Source organism: Homo sapiens, chromosome 7 (genome assembly GCF_000001405.40).
Source record: "Homo sapiens chromosome 7, GRCh38.p14 Primary Assembly".
Taxonomy (NCBI): Eukaryota; Metazoa; Chordata; class Mammalia; order Primates; family Hominidae; genus Homo; species Homo sapiens.
In genome coordinates this window covers 24,339,864-24,363,398 of record NC_000007.14, presented here as the reverse complement: position 1 = coordinate 24,363,398, position 23,535 = coordinate 24,339,864, and the positions used below count along the sequence as shown (strand labels likewise).

At 40.2% G+C, this 23,535-nt stretch overlaps 1 long non-coding RNA gene across 14 annotated transcripts in view, besides 2 other annotated features; it reads left to right on the top strand.

Moving 5' to 3' along the window:
- The window catches only part of LOC107986777 (uncharacterized), a 303,857-nt gene that overhangs the window by 81,740 nt on the left and 198,582 nt on the right, over positions 1-23,535 (top strand). The window lies entirely within an intron of this gene.
- Positions 13,987-14,487: an enhancer, noted in NCBI's record as "H3K4me1 hESC enhancer chr7:24388531-24389031 (GRCh37/hg19 assembly coordinates)". NCBI's record gives its function as "activates a minimal SCP1, AML or CMV promoter by ChIP-STARR-seq in primed H9 embryonic stem cells {active_cell/tissue: H9 hESC(primed)}" and the evidence as "EXISTENCE:reporter gene assay evidence [ECO:0000049][PMID:30033119]".
- Positions 18,858-19,358: an enhancer, noted in NCBI's record as "H3K4me1 hESC enhancer chr7:24383660-24384160 (GRCh37/hg19 assembly coordinates)". NCBI's record gives its function as "activates a minimal SCP1, AML or CMV promoter by ChIP-STARR-seq in naive H9 embryonic stem cells {active_cell/tissue: H9 hESC(naive)}" and the evidence as "EXISTENCE:reporter gene assay evidence [ECO:0000049][PMID:30033119]".

Sequence of the window (23,535 nt, the reverse complement as noted above, 5' to 3'; positions counted from 1 at the left end):
GATAAAAGAATCAACCCATTAAGAAGACATAATAATCCTAAACATGTATGCAACTAATAACAGAGTTTCAAAATACATGAAGCAAAAACTGACAGAAATAAAGGGAGAAATAAATCTACAATCATAACAGAAGATTTTTAAGATCCCTTTCTAGTAATTGATAGAACAAGTAGATATGTATGATGAGAAGCCATTGGCAGGTTTTAGGCCAAGGCAAGCACAATCTTATTTGATTTATAAAGACTGCTCTGTCTTCAAAGTGGAAAATGGATTGTACAGAAAACCAGGAAAAAGTTAAGAGGTTAATACAGTAGACCAAGCAAGAATGTTACTGGCCTGAACTAAGGTGGCAGTGATGGCTCTGGGGAAAATGGACAGATTTGAATATCCCCTCTTGAGATATCCACAACCAGCCAAGTATAAGAGCCTTCTAGGCATATACTTGCTCAATCTTTGACTCTACTTCTCATGCAGTAAGTAAAGCTAGAATAAACAACTAGCTGTATTAGCCAGGTGTGGGGGTGGGTAGTCCCAGCTACTTGAGGCTGAGGCAGGAGAATCACTTGAGTCCAGGTGTTCGAGGCTGCAGTGAGGCATGATTGTACCATGATACTCCAGCCTCGGTGACAGAGCAAGACCTTGCCTCCAAGAACAAACCAACCAACCAACCAACCAACCAACCAACCAACAAACAAACAAGCTATAGTTACTCTGCAAACCCAAAGTCTAACATATTCCCATTTACCCTAGGTTAGTAAGTAAAAAGCAATCCAGTTTGAGGCAGATCAGGAGTGGAGTGGATACATTTGCTGATGATAAGATTGTCAAACCCTCATAGGAAAGAATTTATTGAATATGAACACAGAGTCAAGATTATATTTTTAAGCTTGGTGCTTTCGAGAACATTTGAACTCTTGCTTGTCCGGCTATTGGCGTATATGTTTGTGGCAGAACATTTCAGTGGGTACCCTTCCCTTAATTATTTGTGCTGAATCCGGCTGCCCATTTTGTCTTCATCGTGCTTTCAGGAAGGCAAGTGAGTGGGAAATGGACCCACCAGTGTGGACAGCTGTAGATGTGTTTGTTGGGTAGAGGTCCTTGCTAGTCCTGGTCATTAGCAGGTGCTCACAAAGGACTCCACTGTGCCTAAGCTCCATTCCTGTTTATACAAGAAAAAAATGGAGCCCTCCCAGACTGGGACCTGAATACAACCCTACTGTAATTTAACAGATATTTTAAAAACATTTTTCTGTAAGCTGGGCTGTTGTGTGTACTACGCTATGGTGATGAAATGGTGAAAAGCCAGAAAATTTCCCTGTTCTCATGTCTACTGTTGAATGAGAGGAGACAGACATTAAGCAGATCATCAGGTGAATAAGTGATGAGAATTGTGTTATGTGTGATGAGGGAAAGGTACTTGACAACATATAACACTACTGTGGGTATTTGGGGGAAGAGTCCTTGAGGAAGTGACCTCTAATCAGAAGTTAGAGAAGAGAAACTGGATGAGGATGGGGGGAAGAGCAATCCAAACAGAGAAAAGGCAAAGACCCACAGAGGGAAAAGGAGCAGGGCATTTGAAGGACTGCAAGGAAGCCCATGAAGCTAGAGAGAAGAAACAGAGAGACAGAGAAAGGTTAAAGAGGCTGCAGAACTGGGTAGGGGACAGATTATTAAGGGATTTTTTCCTATGAGCAGTGGAGCAATGGGAATTCAATCTAAGGCTTTATGCTTTAAGTAACACAGTGCAAGAAAGTCTCAAAGACCGATTTCTGGGAGCTTAATTTATTGTTGCAGGACAGAGTTTGAAATGCATTCATCCTGGGCTTTAAGATTCATGAAGAATCACCAGAACACTGAAGTCCTGGGGTTACAGTTGCTGAAGCTGAAGTCCAGGGGTGGTCTGTCATTGAAGCTTCAAGCTAGGAATGGTTTAGGGAAGGCCCAGAACTTGTATCTCAGGAGCTGAAGGAGCCACCTGGAAAATAGGCTGTACTGCCCGTTAACACAGCATCTCTTTCTTTGATCCAATTACTGAATTAGAAATGGGGGTGTTAAAGATGAATGGAAGTTTTTAACATTAATCACCATCTAATGATGGCAAAGCCTGGGAGATGTCAGATTTTATTCGATGGATTTATCCTAAAAGTGATATGTACACTGACAGTTGAGGAAATTAATGGTTTGACTTTATGGAGGACTGACAGGATAAACTGACTCTGACAGGCTAAATTAACGCAAGGCTGTAACAGAATGTAAAATGCCAACTTCATATTTTGAATGTAATGCTTTAGAGGCTTTTGATATTGATTTCTAAACCTTGCAGATATGTTTAAATAAATGAAAATTCAGGAGAGGACACTGTCTTGAAGAGACAACATCACAGCAGAGTGATGAATAAATAATTTATAAGTGGAATTTCAACCATGCCCATGTTTAAAATTCACAGATTTATTAATATAATCAAATATGGTAAAGCAAAATGAATCAATTTCAGACTCGTGTTTGCAATTTTAGTGCATATGTAAATTCCTTGAGGGCAGAAATCTGTCTAATGCATCTCTGTTTTCCCAGTACCTAGACAGTGAAGGCACACAGCTGCCACTCAACAAATGTTCATTGCAAAACTGTGTGGCATATCAATCAGTATTAGTAATTGATACCAGGTTATTGGTAAACATTTACCATTTTTCTAATTTATATAACATAAAAATTATATTTATAGACAAAAATGAATTGCAGGATTTCATGGAAAATATATTTTACTAAACTTCTTAACCTCTAGAATAATTTGGAAAAAGTGTTTTAATCAGAATGATGTAGTATCTTCCAGAGTCAACTACATTGAGCTAATTATTTTTTATCAGTTTTTCTATATAAAAGAGATATACAATTTACATTTTTCTCTCTTTTTTTTTCCTAAACACATTTTCAATGTGATCAGTTCCTTTCTAAAGAGAAACTTTCAGAGCACAAATGTGATTCAATGATTGAGTTTGTGTTCCTATCAAATTTTACTCTTCATAATTATTGCCATACATTTCCTTTTGAGGCCGTTATTTATTGGCCAATCCACCTGGCTTAAATTGGACAAGATATAAACTTTGACAAAAGTAAGATTTTTAGCACTATTTAGTCATAAATTTTACAATATGTGGTTTTAACTACTGTCAGTTTTATTTTGTGTTGATTTTTCCTTCCAGTAATTAATTACGTATTGAAGAAAATTCCATTGGAAAATTGTGAGAAATGTTGTAAAATGTAGAGATGTAGAAAGATCAGGCTTGGTGGGAGATGGGAGTGGTTTGGATGAACAGGAGCTAAGACAGGGAGATGGGAGAGACAGAGAAAGAGGTAAAGGGGCAGAAGACAGGGAAATAATGCCTTCGTGAAATTGTTAAGTCAAAAATATTTACGTTCATTAAAAGAAATGTTTATTATTAATGAGTTCTTGCGCTTGGCACCTGCAAATTTAATTTAGAATAAAGTTAAATACACATTTTCACTAAGTACAAAATGACATTAATCTGCTAAGAAATTTTAGAAATGCTGAATTGCAACCTGCTTGCAAAATCTCATAATAGTTCTCTGTATTGAATAAGGGCCCTCTCTGAAGCTCATTTTCCAAACATAATACCCCAAGCACATTTTGGAGGTGAAAGATCCAGCCTTGAAATGCAGGAACCACTTCCTAAGCTTGGAGACAGAGCCTGCGAGTGCTCATGCACCATTTTCTAATCTTATTCATTAAAATACTCATTCCTTGGGAAATTGCTATGAAGCAGTACTTTTCCCATCGATTTTTGACCACAGACTCCAATGTATGAATAAAACGTTTATTTAAGTCACTTACCCATTTTTAAGGTGTATTATGTCTCTTTTTACTTACTGTGTAAGTGTTCTTTATATTTGTGGATTTTAGTCTTTTGTTTATTACATGTGTTGCAAACATCTCCCAAGCTGTGATTCTCTTTTCACCCTCTTTATGGTATCTGTGATGAATAGAACGTCTTAATTTTAATGTACTCAAATTTAGCCATTGTCTTTTATGGGTTCTTGTTTAAAAAATACTTTCTAACCCTGAAGTCATGAAACTATATTCCTATAATATATTCTAAAAGCTTATTGTTTTGCCTTTCACATTTAGGATTTTAATCTACGTAGAATCAATTTTCCTGTATGTTATTTGGCAGAGGTCCAATTTCATTTTTCTTCATAACCCAATTTTCCCAGGTCCATTTATTGAAAAGATCATCTTTTCTTTGCTGATTCTTTTCAATTTGTCATGCATGATGTTCGTATTTAAGTCACACTTTTGTGTTCTTCATTCCTCTTGCATCTCAGACCTATCATCTGTCCCTATCTTTCTGCCTGAAGTAAATTTTTTATAATTTCTGTTGATGGAAAACAATGTTAGCTTTTGTTTGTCCAAAAACGTGTTTATCCCCATTCTTACAAGATATTTTCCCCAGATATGAAATTCTAAGATGGCAATTATTTTCGCTTAGGACATCATTCCAATGTATTTTGGTTTCTACTGTTGCTATTGAAAAAAAAAAAAAAAGCAGTGAGTCTAATTGTTGCTTTTTTTTTTTTTTTTTTTTTTTTTTGAGGCGGAGTCTCGCCCTGTCACCCAGGCTGGAGTGCAGTGGCGCGATCTTGGCTCACTGCAAGCTACACCTCCCAGGTTCACGCCATTCTCCTGCCTCAGCCTCCCGAGTAGCTGGGACTACAGGCGCCCGCTACCACGCCCGGCTAATTCTTTGTATTTTTAGTAGAGACGGGGTTTCACCGTGTTAGCCAGGATGGTCTCCATCTCCTGACCTCATGATCCGCTCGCCTCGGCCTCCCAAAGTGCTGAGATTACAGGCGTGAGCCACCACGCCCTGCCCAATTGTTGCTTCTTTATAGGTGACCTGTCCTGCCCCTTCCTCCTCGTACGGTGGCTGCTTTTTAAAGATATCTTTGTTCCTGGGGATTCTTCAACCAAAAGTGCATTTTATTATAGAGAAGTGGAGAGTTTTTTATTCCTTCTTTCTTCCTCTTCTTTCTAGAGTGGAAAGGACTGAGCATATGTGCATATATGCTGGAGAAAGGATCAGAGATGTTGAAGATATAGAAAAGAAGTTAATAATTGATGAAATGAGGTTCTTGAGGAAGAGGCAAAATATAGGGCCCAGAGCTCAGGTAGGAAGCAAAGATGCCAGCTGGGCGCGGTGGCTCACGCCTGTAATCCCAGCATTTCGGGGAGGCCGAGGCGGGTGGATCACCTGAGGTCAGGAGTTTGAGACCAGCCTGGCCAATATGGTGAAACTCTGTCTCTACTAAAAATGCAAAAATTAGCCAGGCATGGTGGTGGGCGCCTGTAATCCCAGCTACTCGAGAGGCTGAGGCAGGAGAATCACTTGAATCCGGGAGGCGGAGGTGGCAGTGAGCCGAGATCGGGCCATTGCTCTCCAGCCTGGGTGACAAGAGGGAAACATCATCTCAAAAAGAAAAAAAAAAAAAAAGCAAAGATGCCTTTGTTAGAAGAGAAAGGATGAGTGTCAATATTCTTAATACTTGTTGCTCAACAGTGAACAGAAAGTTATCGGGTTTTGCGTGATGGATTCCAGCTTGTCTGTAAAGAAGAGGATGGATCATTCATTATTTAATAACTGCATTAAGTGCTAGGAACAGAGTGGTGAGAAAAGAAGCATATTCTTTGCTTTCATGAAGCTTATATTCCAAAGAGGGAAACTTACCCTGCATAAGCAAAAAAAAAATAAAATAAAATTTTTAAATCATCAATTGTGATAACATGCCATGAAGGAAATATACAGTGTACTGTATGTAATGAAGAACAGGGTGAGAGTACCTCTTTAAATAGGACAGTTAAGGTTAGTATCTCTGGATGGTGAGACCTAGAGCTCAAGAAGCCAGGGATCCTGGAAGAACTTCCCAGGAATAAGGAAGGGCAGGTACAAAAGCCTGAGCTGGGAAAGAACTTTGCACTTCTAGGACCTTTCAGAAGATCGGGGTGCTTAGGGTACAGTGAGAAAAAAGAATGGACGGGGCGAGGTTAAAGAGCTACCTGGAGAGAAAATTATGCCAGACTTTGTAGGCCATGGTAAGAGGTTTCTGTTTGTGTGCAAGTTAAATGAATAATCATTAAAGGTTTTCTTAAGCAGAAAAGTGATTTGATATGACTGTCCTTCCCCAAACTGCATCATTTCCTTACTGCCCTCATTCTACTCTATCTCTGATAACTGTAGTTATTAATCTAGTATATAAGCTTTCCTATACATACATACACACACATGTATACACACACGTATATACACACATGTTTGTATATATTTGCTGCATTTTGATTTTTTTCATTCAATAGTATCTCATGGACAGTTCTCTATGTCAATTAGCATAGGTTATCATTCTTTCATTTTTAGTATATTCTTTCATTTTTAGTATATGTGCTGCTGAAGCTAGCACACTCAATCTTTTTGTTTATGACTTCCATATATCGGGCATTCCCCTTATGTTTTGATTGTTGCTTCTAGTTTTGGCTTCTAAAAACCATGCTGGAACAGAAAATCCCGTATGTATATACTTACATATTCATGCTGATATTTCTAGAGGATATGTTCTCAGTAGTAGAATTGCTTGATCAAATTATGTATGTATTTTTTACATTAAGATGTTTCCAGATTCTTTTTCTAAGTTCTTATTTGTTAAGATTTGTACCAAAAATATATGTATCCTTCCCCCAAGTCCTTCTATGTTGCTTTATCTTTTTTCTTTGTGATGAATGCAAGTATACGTATTTACATAGGCATATATACATACATATGTGTGTGTGTATATAAAATTTAGTACTTTATAGTGAGTTAGCTTTTTTTTTTTAACTAGTCAAAACAGCGGATCCACAAACAGTAGTAATATGAGGTTGGGTCAGAGGGGAGTCTAAAGGATTTTGCTGCTATTTAGGGAGTGTCTCTTAAATAATACTTAGTTTCAACACCTAAAAAGTGGATAGAAACTTGAACGAATAGTTGCCTCATAATGTCAATAAAGAATTGATGACAGTAAAAGTACCTGCTAGACATGTGCCATCCAATACAGTAACCATAGTCACATACGGCTGTTTAAATCTTAATTTTAATTGAAATTAAGTAAAATTAAAAATTCAATTCCTCAGTTACACTAGCTTCATTTCAAGTGTTCAGTGGACACGTACACTTAGTGGTCACCATATTAGGCAGCACAGATGATGTCCATCATTGCAGAACGTTCTAGTGAACTGTGTTGTGCAATAAAGAACTCTGATATCATGTTACAGTGATACAACTATATATATAAAGAGTTATATATATAGTTATATTTATATAGTTATATATAGAGTTATATATATAGTTATATATAGTTATATATAGTTATATATAGTTATATATAGTCATATGTAGTTATATATAGTTATATATAGTTATATGTAGTTATATATATAGTTATATATAGTTATATATATAGTTATATATAGTTATATATATAGTTATATATATAGTTATATATATAGCTATATATAGTTATATATAGTTATATATATAGTTATATATATAGTTATATATATATTTTAAAGGTTTTTCATTTATCTCCTTCAGTTCTGCACTGAGTTATTTCTTGTCTTCTGCTAGCTTTTGAATTTGTTTGTTCTTGCTTCTCTAGTTCTTTTAACTGTGATGTTAGGGTGTCAATTTTACATCGTTCCTGCTTTCTCCTGTGGGCATTTAGTGCTATAAATTTCCCTCTAAACACTGCTTTAGCTATGTCCCAGAGGTTCTGGTATGTTGTGTCTTTGTTCTCATTGGTTTCAAAGAACTTATTTATTTCTGCCTTAATTTTGTTATTTACCCAGTAGTCATTCAGGAGCGGGTTGTTTAGTTTCCATGTAGTTGTGCAGTTTTGAATGACTTTCTTAATCCTGAGTTCTAATTTGATTGCACTGTGGTCTGAGAGACTGTTTGTTATGACTTCTGTTCTTTTGCATTTGCTGAGGGGTGTTTTACTTCCAATTATGTGGTCGATTTTAGAATAAGTGTGACGTGGTGCTGAGAATGTATATTCTGTTGATTTGGGGTGGAGAGTTCTGTATATGTCTATTAGGTCCACTTGGTCCAGAGCTGAGTTCAAGTCCTGAATATCCTTGCTAATTTTCTGTCTTGTTGATCTGTCTAATATTGACAGTGGGGTACTAAAGGCTCCCACAATATTGTGTGGGAGTCTAAGTCTCTTTGTAGGTCTCTAAGAACTTGCTTTATGAATCTGGGTGCTCCTGTATTTGGTATATATATATTTAGGATAGTTAGCTCTTCTTGTTGCATTGATCCCTTTACCATTGTGTAATGCCCTTCTTTGTCTTTTTTGATCTTTGTTGATTTAAAGTCTGTTTTATCAGAGACTAGGATTGCAACCCCTGCTTTTTTTTTGCTTTCCATTTGCTTGGTAAATATTCCTTCATCCCTATATTTTGAGCCTATTGTGTCTTTGCATGTGAGATGGGTCTCCTGAATATAGCACACCGATGGGTCTTGACTCTTTATCTGTTGGGAGCCAAAAAGGCCAAAGGGATTGTGACCAGCTCAGCTTTCCACTGGAGGCTATATGATCAAACAGCAAACGGTTTATCATGAATGCAGGATGTGGGCAAACTCACACTGTGCCTGCCGCCAGAAGGTTTGCTGAGGGCGGTCACTCCCTAGTGCTGGGCTCCTTGAGGTTATCTACTGGGATATCTAGAGCCTATTGTTCAAGGAATGCAGTCTTGCAAGCCTACTCTGGCCTGAGCAGCTGACCTCTTCTTCCACCCCCCTTCTGGCTATCTCTTTTACCAAGAAATTCAAAGGGCTGTGGAAAGTCTGGGCCCTTATCCACTAGAGGCAAGGTGCCCCTTCTTCCAAATACACTCTTTTGTCTTTCTCTTTATTCCTACATTCGCCCCCCTTTGTTCAATCCCCCAAGGTCCATGCAGGTAACATCCAATTTGCCAGTCTGTGTCTTTTAATTGGGGCATTTAGCCAATTTACATTTACATAATATTTATGCAATTTACAAATACATAATATTTACATTTAAGGTTAATATTGTTATAAGTGAATTTGATCCTGTCATTATGATGCTAGCTGGTTATTTTGCCCATTAGTTGATGCAGTTTCTTCATAGTGTCGATGGTCTTTACATTTTGGTATGTTTTTGCAATGGCTGGTACTGGTTTTTCCTTTCCATATTTAGTGCTTCCTTCAGGAACTCTTGTAAGGCAGTCCTGGTGGTGACAAAATCTCTCAGCAGTTGCTTGTCTGTAAAGGATTTTATTTCTCCACTTATGAAGCTTAGTTTGGCTGGCTATGAAATTCTGGGTTGAAAATTCTTTTCTTTAGGAATGTTGAATATTGGCCCCCACTCTCTTCTGGCTTGTAGGGTTTCTGCAGAGAGATCCACTCTAGTCTGATGGGCTTCCCTTTGTGGGTAACTCGTCCTTTCTCTCTGGCTGCCCTTAACATTTTTTCCTTCATTTCAATCTTGGTGAATCTGACGATTATGTCTTGGGGTTGCTCTTCTCAAGGAGTATTTTTGTGGTGTTGTCTGTATTTCCTGAATTTGAATGTTGGCCTGTCTTGCTAGGTTGGGGAAATTCTCCTGGATAATATCCTGAAGAGTGTTTTCCAACTTCATTCCTTTCTCCCTGTCACTTTCAGGTACACCAATGAAACATGGGTTTGGTCTTTTCACATCATCCATATTTCTTGGAGGCTTTGTTTGTTCCTTTTCATTCTTTTTTCTCTAATCTTGTCTTCATGCTTTATTTGAGTTGATCTTCAATCTGTGATATCCTTTCTTCCACTCGATCGATTTGGCTATTGATACTTGTGTGTGCTTCACGAAGTTCTCATGCTGTGTTTTTCAGCTCCATCAGGTCATTTGTGTTCTTCTCTAAACAGGTTATTCTAGTTAGCAATTCCTGTAACCCTTTATCAAGGTTCTTATTTTACTTGCATTGGATTAGAACAGGCTCTTTTAGCTCAGAGAAGTTTGTTATTACTCACCTTCTGAAGCCTACTTCTGTCAATTCATCAAACTGATTCTCTGCCCAGTTTTGTTCCTTTGCTGGCGAGGAGTTGTGATCCTTTGGAGGAAAAGAGGCATTCTGGTTTTTGAAATTTTCAGCCTTTTTGCGCTGGCTTCTCCTCATCTTAGTGGATTTATCTAGCTTTGGTCTTTGATGTTGGTGACCTTCGGATGGGGTTTTTGTGTGGACGTCCTTTTTGTTGATGTTGATGCTATTCCTTTCTGTTCGTTAGTTTTCCTTCTAACAGTCAGGCCTCTCAGCTGCTGGTCTGCTGGAATTTGCTGGAGGTCCACTCCAGACCCTCTCTGCCTGGGTATCACCAGCAGAGGCTGCAGAACAGCTAAGATTGCTGCCTGTTCATTCCTCTGGAAGCTTTGTCCCAGAGGGGCACCCGCCAGATGCCAGCCAGAGTTCTCTTGTATGAGGTGTCTGTCGACCTCTGCTGGGAGGTGTCTCCCAGTCTGGAGGCATGGGGGTCAGCAACCCACTTGAGGAGGCTGTCTGTCCCTTAGCAGAGCTCGAGCACTGTGCTCGGAGATCTGCTGTTCTCTTCAGAGCCAGCAGGCAGGAATGTTTAAGTATGCCGAAGCTTTGCCCACAACCGCCCCTTCCCCCAGGTGCTCTGTCCCAGGGAGATGGGAGTTTTATCTATAAGCCCCTGTCTGGGGCTGCTGCCTTTCTTTCAGAGATGCCCTGCTCAGAGAGTGAGTTAGCTTTTTCATTGATTTGCTTACTCTTTGGTCTTTCTCTTCTATGAATTGTTTCTTCCTTCATTTTATTAATAGATTACTTGCCTCCTTGTCATTTTGAAAGATCTCTCTACATGATAAGGTATTAGCTGATTTCTACATTGTAAATAAAGATTTTCCAAGTTTTTGGTTTTGATGATATTATAATATCTTTCACTACTGCAAAATATTATTTTTATATAGTCAAACACAGTTGTTTCTAGCTTCTAGATTTTAGTCTTGGTTAAGAAGTCCTCTCTCAATCCATAAATTTTACATGAAGTATTTTTATTTACTTTGAAAGACTATTATTATTATTTTAAAGCATTTAGGTTATTAAATCACTTGTAAATTTTTTTTAAGAGATGCAGTCTCACTATGTTCTCCAGGGTACAGTGTAGTGGCTATTGATCGTCACAGTGCACTACAGCCTCAAACTCCTGGGTGCCAATGATCCTCCTGCCACAGTCTCCTGAGTAGCTGGGATTACAGGAGTGCACCACCACGTCTGGCTTTTTTTTTTTTTTTTTTTGCTATTTTTAATACGTTTTTTTCCTGATCAATAATTAGTCGTGCCAATAATTAGTTATTAAATAATACCCCTTTCCCTCTTACTGGATACATCATCTTTGTCATATGCTACATTTCCAAATATACTGACATCCATTTCTGGATTCTTTACTGTGTTATGTTCATTTTTTTTCATCATCTTGCATTGATCTATTTGTATATTGATTTGATTTTGCCTCTACATTCTAAAATATCTTGTTCTGTTTTAAAGCATGTTCACATATCTACTGAGGCAAGTGCACCCTTGAAACTGTTGTTATTCATACTCGTCATAACTATTCTTGGGCATTTTTCCTTCCATTCAGACATTAAAACCTCCTTCTTCTCTACTCCCAGCCCACCTCCCATCAAATAAAGGACAAAATCCAACCAAACTAAAAAAGCCCACAAATAGCCCTCAAAACAAACAAAAAGAACCTGTTTGTATTCTAATTGAAATATTAGATTTATAAGTTGATTTGGGAAAAAATGGCATTTTTAAAGACATCAATTTTCTTATCTTAGAACATGGCATATTTTCCCTTTTATTTTGATCTTATTTTGTATTCTTCAATAAGCTTTTACAGTTTTAATCATCTAAGTCCTGGACCTTTTGTTTAATTTATTTTAAAATATTTAATAGTTTTTGTCATCCTGGTGAAATTATTCTCTTTCCCATTTCCATTTCCAGGAGCTTATTGCTATGATTGAGACAATTTTGGAACATTTATATTATTAGGCACCTTAACAAATGATACTATGAACTCTGCTAAACTTTTCTTAAAGTTGCTTAGGAATGTGTTTAGAGCAAGCTGTGCTAGCCTGTGGAGGTGAGAGAATAATGGGTATGAAGTTTGTTTGGTCCTGATTACACTGTGTACTGTCCTCTAGCAATTATTTTGAGAAGTATAAAACCCCAAGATGACTGGTGTGCTCCTGGCCCAGGTCAGCTGGTTCCCCACTCTGTGCAGTCCCAGTTACAGGCTGAGCACTCAACTTGTGCTTGTAAGGCTGGGCCTGCAAGGGGATCGTTCCGCTTCCTAAGAGTCTTAGATGTCCTCACCCCTTCTGATGCTTCATTTGCAGCTGCACACTGGCTGGTGAGGGTTTGCGGGTGAGGAACCTGGTGCCTCCATTGCAGGATGTCACTGCTGCTGCTGCAGATCCTAGAGCCTCTCTATGTCACCCAGGCTGGAGTGCAGTGGCATCATGACAGCTCACTGCAGCTTTGACCTCCCAGGCTCAACCAATCCTCCTGTCTCAGCCTCCTGAGTAGCTGGAAATACAGGCACGTGTCACCATGCCTGGCTGGTTTTTAAAAGAATTATTTTTGGTAGAGACAGTGTTATTAGTCTGTTTTCATGCTGCTGATAAAGACATACCTGAGATTGAGTAATTTATAAAGGAAAAGAGATTTTAATGGACTCACAGTTTCAAGTGGCTAGGGAGGCCTCACAATCATAATGGAAGGCAAAAGACACGTCTTACATGGCGGCAGATAAGAGAGAAATGAGAAGGAAGTGAAAGTGGCAACCCCTTCTAAAACTGTCAGATCTCATGAGACTTATTCACTACCACGAGAACAGTATGGGGGATGGTGGAAACCACCCCCACGATGCAATTATCTCCCACTGGGTCCCTACTACAACATGTGAGAATTATGGGAGCTATGATTCAAGATGAGATTTGGGTGGGTACACAGAGCCAAACCATATCAGACAGTTTTCCCTACATTGCACAGGCTGGTGTCCAACTCCTGGGCTCAGGTGATTCTCCCACCTTGGCCTCCCAAAGTGTTGGATTTATAGGCGTGAGCCACCTTTCAGTAACCTTGATGGCATTACCCAAGTGTCGGTAGTCTCTGTTAGTCCGTGCTTGCTTTAACCACTTGTCAATACATGGCTGTGCTAGATCATATAAGTTTTCCTTAAATACTGACTTTTTTCATTACCTAGTCCTTTTTATCCCATTTAGTATTTTAAATCTTAAGTTACACATTGTGCGATTTTAACTCTGCTTTCTCTTTGCTTCTGCCTAGCATCTCTACACCTGAGACTTTATTTTCAACCATTCCTTATAAATTGCTAAATATTTGTTGCCTATAATTTTATCCACTTTGTAATCAAATCTCATCATTGTGTCTCCTAAATGAAATTTGAATCTGTTCACCTCTCTCCATCCGCACCTTTGCCACCCTAGCCTAATCTATCATCACCACTTACTTGGACTACTGCAATGCAGCAGCCTCTTAACTGGCCCACTCTTGTCCTTTTGGCCCCCATCTCTGCCACAAAATATCTCCTCCACAATGCAGACAGAATGGCCACTTCAAAATGCAAACCTGATAACATCTTACCTCCCACCTCCTCTCCCCTAAGTCCTCACTGGTTTTAGAACAAATACGAAACTCCTCCTCTTGGCCCTGCCTGCCTCAGGCCCTGTCTGCCTTCCCAGCTCACTCTCACCCTCTGCTCCTGACACATTAACCTCCCTTGGACCCTTGTCTGGCCCTGTCCCCTCCCACCCAGGGCATTTGCATGGCTCATTCGTTCTGCCTGGAAAGCTCTTCCCTCCCCTCTTCTACTAATTAAGGCTCCACCTCATCCAGTAAATCCCTGCTCAGGCATTGTGCCTTCAGGGAAGTCTGTGCAGACCCCATAATCAGAGCCCCTCCTGGCCTGGGGCCCTCTCCCTGTAGCACATCATACAGCTGCCAAGTTCCAATTTTGGTATGAGTGTTAGAGGTCTGTCTTCCCCACTGGACTCTGCATCCTCCCAGGAGGACAGGGAGCATATGGGCTTCTGCTCACCCTTTGTCCCCTGCTGGTAGCATATTGCCCAGTTGAGGGTAGGTATTCCAAAACTATGTGTTGAGCAGGTACATGAATGATTAGCGGTCGCAGTGAACTTTTAATAACACACATGGGATGGCTGAGAATCCTGGAACAATAACCACGTATCCATAGCTAGCCGGGGCTTCCCTCCCACACCAACTTACCTGCCTTTCCTAAACCAGGCAGCTGCAGGGATGCTCAACAGGTGGGTGTACTTGAGCCTCGGACTCTGGGGGTCCTGAGGAGGAGAACCAGTGCAGGGCTTCCTCTTTCATGAGTTAGTCAAGAGCCTGGAGAGTAGCACTGGAGAGCCCCAAGATCGGAATCAGGATCAAGAATAGGTGGTTTCTGGAAAGAGCTTGACACACAGAATTCCATGCCTCACAGGCTCTGTGTGGGTGTGCCTGGACTGGCTGGCCACCAATAGGTAGAGCAGGAGCTGAAAGGGTGGCAGAATGCTACCTGTTCTGGGCCTGGGAGTGAGGGGGGCCCTTCAGCCAGAGTGCCTTCCACATCATGCCTCATCAGGGGCCTTGGAGCCCTCTGTGGGCTGCACCATGACCCACAGAGATGAGAACACTTCTTTTACTGTACCACTTGCAGAAATGCCACCATTGGAGAATTTCAACAACTTCAGTGAGCCCCAGTGAGCTGATAGAGAAAAAGAATTCATCTGAGAGACCCAGTAGCCAAAAAGAAATATTGATAAGCACAAAGAGAGCCCATGCCCAGCAAATAGAGCTGAAGAAGGCAGACAGGACAATGTGAAGAAAAGTAACAATGAAAGTGTCAAGGAAGATTAAAGTACAGCAGTTTGTGGAGCTAATAGATAATGTTTTCCCCAATAAACAGTGGAGCAGATGCCTTAAATGAGAGAGCAATCAATCTTGGGATAGAAACTAATGTCTAAGGTCACATAGAAGAAATATTTCACGTCACAGAGCAAAAATATAAAGAGGTGGGAATGCTTTGGGAAAAAGAAGGTTAGAGAATTGACCCAGAAAATCTAGTGTCTTGGTAACAAAAGGAGATAAATAGATAGGAAAATGTAACAAATAAATACAGTTGAATTCTGCTACTATAGCTTAAGTGGGCTCCAAAAAGTCAATTGTAAAAACTATGAGGTGTGCATTACTGTGAGGTCAAGCAGTGTCCTGGGTGGACCTGTGTGGATTGCCAGCCTGGAATTTCTGGATGTCCAGCTGTGTGATCCAAAGTCTTCCTGGGCCAGCTGTGGGTTGTACTACCTGCTGACAGCTCTCTGCTCCAGCTTAAATATCAATAGGGACATATCTGGATGCTATGGTTGGCTGGGACCTCTAGATCAACAGAAGCAATCTGAGAAATCATCCAGTTGGTTGGTGCTCATTTCATCAATCTGATGTGAGATTGGACCAGAGGAAAAATGATCCCACTTCCCAAGGCAAGGTTGCCTGCAGTTTCACCACCTGGCTGCCATGTCATCATCGATTCCATGCCTCTCCTCCTTTCCACCACATAGAGCATAAGCATTTTAGACCACTCCTGTTTGTGATGGGAGATGGACAGATGACAGCGGCAATATGGATCTGCATTTTCATGGGTTTGTACCGTAATAAAAGAAGCATCCCTTGGCTGAAGAAAAATCTGCAGATTGAAAGCACTTACCAAGTTCTAAGCAAGGTCAGAGAAAAATGCCACTGATGTAGGTATAGTTTTATAAAGTTCCTAGACTATATGATTAGAACAAAAGCTAACAAGCTCCTAAGCAAAAGTAATAAATAAATAACAAAAGAAAGGAAAAATAATCAGACGGGCATTTGCAACACAAGAAGCTAGAAGATGATTAAATAATATCAACATTATGTAAAGTCAAAAGGACTAGGCAGGGCAAGACGGCTCACGCTTGTAATCCCAGCACTTTGGGAGGCCAAGGCGGGTGAATCACCTGAGGTTAGGAGTTCGAGACCAGCCTGATCAACATGGTGAAACCCCCATCTCTACTAAAAATACAAAAATTAGCCGGGTATGGTGGTGAGCGCCTGTAATTCCAGCTACTCAGGAGGCTGAGGCAGGAGAATTGCTTGAACCCGGGAGGTGGAGGTTGCAGTGAGCTGAGATCGCGCCATTGCACTTCAGCCTGCGTGACAAAGCAAGACTCTGTCTCAAAAAAAAAAAAAAAAAGACTAAAACTCAGAAATTGTTCTTTCAGAGTTAAAGAAAGCTATTCTAAAGGGAGTAGAATTTAGATGTGTCATCCACATACTCACCTAATAAAAATACTCAAGAAAGGTTTTTAGCCTAAAACAAATGAGTAAGAAGAAACCTTAGGATAGAGGATGATGAAAAGGAGGGAAACAGTGGTTAGCCACAGAAACTGTCAATTAGATTAAATGTGGATTAAAAAAAAGAAGTCTGACTTCTGTTTCACATAATATGGTAGCTTAGATCTCTTGAAATCTTATTATAAAACACCTGGAAATAGTGGATAAAATCTTTAAAACACCCTTTTAAATATGGCCTAAGTTGCAACAAAGTACAGGAGCTCCTTCAATGGCTGGAATGAAATGAGTTCATAAAGCCAGAACTAAGTGGACCCTGGAACCATCAGCTACTCTGCGGGCTTCTGTCAAACCCTAAAGGCCTAGAGCTTCTTGTCTCCCCACGTGCAGGGGAGACAGGAGACCAAGCCCCTAGGCCTGAGCAAGACGCAGGATGTGAGCAGAGATCCCTCATAAAATCCTGACCACAGAAGCCCAGTGAAAGGGTAAACTGGAAAAATTCCACAGCTCAAAGGCAGAGAGGAGAGAAAAAAATCTGTCTCAGCATTGGCGCTGGGTAGAGGAGGAATACAAAGCTCCTTTGAGAACCAGGGACTCGAGGCTGACCAGCAAGTAGTCTCCTGCTTCAAATGTACACTCTTGGCACGGTTGAAAAAACTGCACAGTAAAAACTTCAAGCAGACTCATAGCACCAGGCGTTTGACAAAAGCAAACAGAAACACTTTCAGGAGGAATGCACCCTCAACAAGTCCTCAGAGAATTCCCCCAAATTAAATTCCAATGAAGATAAATTTACAGTAGAAATACAAGCAAACAAGGCTCTGTGAGCCAAGTCAGCAGAAGCAACCATAATGGAATCAAACCTAGACAATAAATATATTGGAATTGCTGGAAATTTACCTGGATAACTCTCACAGATACAGCATAAAATAAAAAGAACAAGTTATGGAACATACGCAGTTGATAGTCTATTTAAAGTTAAAGTAAAAAATGAGGAAAACTAAACTATACAACAAACATGTTTAATACGTTTGAAAACAGGGAATATAAAAAAATTAAAAATAAAACCCACATAAATAGAAGCTATTGAACAATTAAGAAAACACCAGGTCTAACTAGGTTTATAGATTAAAACTAGATTACAAAAATGTACATGAACAGATCATATAAGATTGAAAAATCTTATACACATGCTTTATGATAAAAGAAAAAGAGGGACTCTCCCCCACCAGCTCATTCTAACAGACTAGCACAACTTTGCTAATGAAAACTAGACAAGGACAAAGTGAGAAAGGGAAATTATAGGCCAATCTCTCTCCTGAACATAGATGCAACAATCTTTAGAAAAATATTAGCAAAGCAAACTCAGCCATGGATGAAAAAATAATCCATCATGATCAAGTGAAGTTTATTCTGAAAATGCAAGTGTAATTTTACATTATAAAGACTATTACTGCTCTTCATCATATTAACAAAATAAAAAAAGTGATTATTCCAGTAGATAGTTGGTAACTGTTAAGTACAGTGTGTCACTCATAGCATCTGCTGTATGTATTTGTTAAGTAAAATTAATAGACACAGAACAAATATTCAATAAAAATAGTTCATAATTTTTTAAAAAACAAAACTTTATTAACCAGGACTATTATATAGAGTATCTATCAGAAATTTGTTTTCCTTTTGACATTATTTAGTAAAACTGAAGACATATTCATCCTAACATCCAGAAATTCTACTCTCACATATATAATTCAGTATATATGCCAGGAGTATGTACAAGAATGCTCAAAGCAGCATTCTTGAAAACAAAAAGCTGGAAACAACTCAGGTGCTTAACAAATGAATTAATAAAGAAATTTTGGTTCAGTCATATAACAAAATATTACATAGCATTAAAAAATAAGTATGCCATGTGTATCTGGACAGCTGTCATAGACATAACATAAATAGATAGAAAAGTGTTATGGACTGAATCGTGTTTCCCAGAACTTTATAGGAAGTTTTAACCTCCAATACCTCAGAATGTGACTATATTTGGAGACAGGGCCTTTAAAGAGGTGATTAAGGTGAAATGAGTTCATCTGTGTTAGCCCTGAGCCCGTATGATTACTGTCCTTTTTTTGTTTTTTTTTTGTTTTTTTTTTTTTTTTGAGACAGAGTATCGCTCTGTCACTCTGTCACCCAGGCTGGAGTGCAGTGGCGCAATCTTGGCTCACTGCAACCTCCACCTACCGGGTTCAAGCAATTCTCTTGCCTCAGCCTCCCAAGTAGCTAGGATTATAGGCGCCTGCCACCGTGCCTGGCTAATTTTTGTATTTTTAGTAGAGATAGGGTTTCACCATGTTGGCCAGGCTGGTCTCTAACTCCTGACCTCAGGTGATCCACCCACCTCAGCCTCCCAAAGTGCTGGAGCCACCGTGGCATGAGCCACCGTGCCCAGCCGATTGATGTCCTCATAAAAGGAGAGAGGACACAGACAACACACAGACCAAGGGGCAACCATGTGAGTGCACAGCGGAAAAACAGCCACCTGCAGGCCAAGGAGTGAGGCCTGAGAAGAAACAAACCTGCTGACACCTGAATCTTGAACTTGTAGCTTTCAGACGGTGAGAAAATAAATTTTGATTGTCCTTTCTATGATAAAAGTCTTAAGAAAAGTAAGGGAACGAGAGAAGAATTCTGCCATCTCTTGAGCTCCATACATTGAAATATTCCTTTCATGAGTGTCTGAGTGTTAGTTTCCATCCCAAAACTGACTGCTCTCACATTTAATGCATCCACTCTACTCTGTTGGTAAATCCTTATCTATTAGCTCCACAAAGAGCTGCACTTTAATCTTCCTTGACACTCTCATTGTTACTTTTCTTCGCATTGTTCTCGCCCTCCTTCTTCAGTTCTATTTGCTGGGCATGGGCTGTCTTTGTGACAATCAATATGCCCTTTTTGGCTACTGAGTCTCTCAGATGGATTCTTTTTCTTTATCACCTCACTGGGGCTCATCAAAAATTGTCGAAATTCTTTAACAGTGGCATTTCTGCAAGTGGTACTGTAAAAGAAAAAGACACATAGTTTTGCAGTGCCTACCTTCTGCTGGGCAATATGCTACCAGCAGGGGACAAAGGGTGAGCAGAAGCCCATATGCTCTCTGTCCTCCTGGGAAGATACAGAGTTCAATGGGGAAGACAGATCTCTTACACCCACACCAATAGTTGGAACTTGGCAGCTGTGTGATGTGCTACAGGGAGAGGGCCCCAAGCCAGGAGGGGCTCTGATTCGGGGGTCTGCACAGACTTCTCTGAAGGCACAATGCCTGAGCAGGGATTTACTGGATGAGGTGGAGCCTTAATTAGTAGAAGAGGGGAGGGAAGAGCTTTCTAGGCAGAACGAATGAGCCAAATGGGCTGTGCAAATGCCCTGGGTGGGAGGGGACAGGGCCAGACAAGAGTCTAAGGGAGGTTAACGTGTCAGGAGCAGAGGGTGAGAGTGAGCTGGAGAGGTGGACAGGGCCTGAGGCAGGCAGGGCCATGAGGAGGAGTTTCATATTTGTCCCAAAACCAGCAAGGAGTCACTGAAAAATGTGAGGACTTGGGGGAGAAGAGGTAGGAGGTAAGGTGATCAGGTTTGCATTCTGAAGAGGCCATTCTGTCTGCATTGTGGAGGAGATATTTTGTGGCAGAGATGGGGGCAAAGGGACAGAGTGGGCCGGTTAAGAGTCTACTGCATTGCAGTAGTCCAAGTAAGTGGTGATGATAGATTAGGCTAGGGTGGCAAAGGTGCCCAAGGAAAAAGATGAACTGATTAAAATTTGTTTAAAAGCACTATTGGCAGGATTTCATTATGCATTGGATAATAATCATATTTAACAGTTGCTGAATGCCTTTTTTAAAATAATGTGCTAGGTACCATTCTAAATACCTTACGTATATTATCTCATTTACTGTTTATAGTAGCCTTATGAGATAGGTGCTTTTATAAGACCAATTTCACAGGTGTGAAAACCAAGGCAAGAGACTTTAAGACATTTACCCAGGCTGGGAAGTGGCTACCCCATTTGCCATCAAATTAGATATAAGGACATGGGCCTGAGGGATGAGGGAGAGGCAGGTGTTAAGGGGGACTCTTGGTTCTGGTTTATGCAAACTGCATGGACTCTAGGGCCTTGTGCTGGGCTAAGAAGCCTTAGAAGAGGGCCAGGTTTGGGGAAGGAATTCGATTTTAGCTTAGTTTTTACCATGATGAATTTAAGATACTTTGAGATATTCAAGAGATGTCAAGGAGGCAGCTGAATATATAGGTCTGGAGCTCAAAGAAGAGATGCAAGCTAGGCATCCAAATATGTTAGTCATCAGCATAGTCATTAGCATAATTGATGTTGTGGGCACTAATGAGATCATGGAGAATATAGAGTAAGAGGAGGAGAGTCTAGGATAGAGCTTGGAGGATCTTTAATATTTAACAGCTAAACGACAAGGACAAACCTAAAAAACAGAAGGCCCACACAGTTGGAGGAAAGCCAGAAGACTGATATGTCTGGAAGCCAAGGAACAAAGAATTCAAAAAGGAGGAAATGGCTAATAGTGTTAAACGCTGCTAAGAGGTGAATTGAGATGAGGATGAATACATGGAGATGTCTGGATGTGTGGGAAATGGAGGGAGAATGGCAGAGAGCTAACAAAGAGACCAGCTAAGAGACTGTGGGTGTGGTCCAGGCATGGAGTGATGGTGGCTTAGTTAAGGGGTTATTGTTGTCATGGAGAGGGAAGCATGTGTGTGTGTATATATGTAAAATATTTTTTTACTCTCTCTCTCTCTCTATATATGGTAGGCCAAACTTGCTGATGGATTGGAATCAAGGATAGTGCTATGGTGCCATAGTTTGAATGTTTGTTCTTCTGAAGCTCATGTTTAAATTTGATCCAAATTCTGGAGTTGGAGCCTAATAGAATGTGTTTGGATCATGGGGGTGAATCCCTCATGAATGACTTGGTGCCTTTCTCATGCTAATGAGTCCTCACTCCATTAGTTCCTATGAGAGCTGGTTTAGAAAGAGCCTGGCACCTCCCCAACTCTTGCTTCAGCACTCACCATGTGATCGCCACACATACCAGTTCCCATTCTCCTGCCATGACTGGAACCAGCCTCAGAGCATCCCCAGATGCAGAGCCCAATCTTGAACTTTTCCAGACATCAGAATCGTGAGCCAAATGAATCTTTTTTTCTTTATAAATTACCCAGCCTCAGATATCCCTTTGTAGCAACACTAAAGGGAATAAGATAGTTTCTAGCTGTGAAGCTGGTGCCTCTGGGTAAACGGTGTTGCCATTTACTATGATAGAAAAAGAGATGAGGAGGAATAGATTTAAGGGTAGAAATCAAGTCTGTTTAGGCCAGGCTGTTTTTGAGGTGTCTGTGGAATATTCAATAGATAGATAAGTAGTTTTGGACACAGAGAAGAGATCATGGGAAGAGTTACAGATTGTGGAAACTTCACCCCTGAGACAGCATTTAAAATATTGGGCTGGAATTCATCAATCCCAGAGAGAAGGAACATGGCTGTCTGCTGAAAATCAGAGGCAAAGTAGTAGAGTAGGGGCTCGAGGAGAGTACTAATATTTTGTCAAGTGGGTAGAAGAATAAATTGATAAAGGACACATAGGAAGACTTCATGTCCTCAAACAACCTAAAGACTACACTTTAGTAGCACCTGTATGCAGAGCTGTGTGATTTTCTCCGACCAGGCTCAGCAGTCTGACTTTGGGAGATGAACTGGGGACTTTAGCTTTTTGAGCTCTAAGATTTTCCCTGGATTTTGGATTTGTTTTCTTGATTTCCCATATTCCAAAGTGATGACTTGATCCTGCAGTGAATATAGTTGACCTGGAAGAACGACATGAACATCTGCAAGATCTGTAACAGTCCTGGATGCTCGTATCTTCCTAACTCAGAGATATTGGTACAGGCATGAGTCAACCTGAGCTTCTGGTGCCCATTGGACACCTACCACCTGAGTCAGCTTCCCCAACCCTACCACCCAATCCAGGTGTTCTCCCTCATAGTCATTTTCTCATGTTGCCAGAGTCCTAATTCATGAATTTGTGATTCACCTGCCTAAGTTGTGCCTTTCATTACCTCTCATCCAGACAGTGGCAAGAGTACCATAACTGGTTTTCCCGCATCTAGTGCCTTCCCTCTCCAATTTGTCTTTTGGTTGCTGGATTAATCTTTTTGAAACATAGCTCTAATCCAGTTTCTCCCCAGCCCAAACACCTCTGATAGCTCTCTATTTATAGAACAGTAATTTTTAGACTCTGAACAGCAGTGCCCTAGGGGTTCATAGAAAGGAGAGTGGGTGTGTGGTCTAGGAGGCCTGTATCCCCCTTGCCCTACCTAGCTGGCTCTGAATTTGATTTGTACCTGTTTTACACATCAGTCTCTGGTGTATAATTACAGACTTTACAGAATTATAATTAATTAATTTTCAGAGAATAGAGAGCAAGGCCCTTCAAAATCTAAGCTCATTACCTTTTAGACCATCTTTTCTGTACTCCTCTGTTCTAGCTAAAAGAAGCTGTTCTTAATACCTCTATGCATTTGCTCATGTTAATGTCCTTCACTGAAACTTCCCTCCCATCCCCAAATGTTCAAATCCAATCCATCTTTTACGGATCAAATGGTCCCTTCTCCATGAACTGTTCCTTGATTTCTTTCTGTTGGAATTCTCTCTCCTTCTTCTAGATTCTGAGAACATTTTATCTGGCTCACTCTTATGACCCTATCTTATGTTAGTATTTATTTGTTACATGTATGAATGCAACCCCCACAATTGGGGTACAAATAGATTCACATCTCCTTCAACATCTAATGTTTATTAAGCACCTATTGTGGGCCAAACACAATTTTGAGTGCTAGTGTAACAGTAAGAAATAAAGCCTCTGCCCTTGTGAAACTTATATTCAAATAGGGGTAAGAGGTGATAAGCTGGTAAATATGTAATATGAGATAGTGATTCGTTCTGTGGGTAAAAGCAAAAGTGGATGGAAAGAGAGAGAATGCTGGCAGGAGGG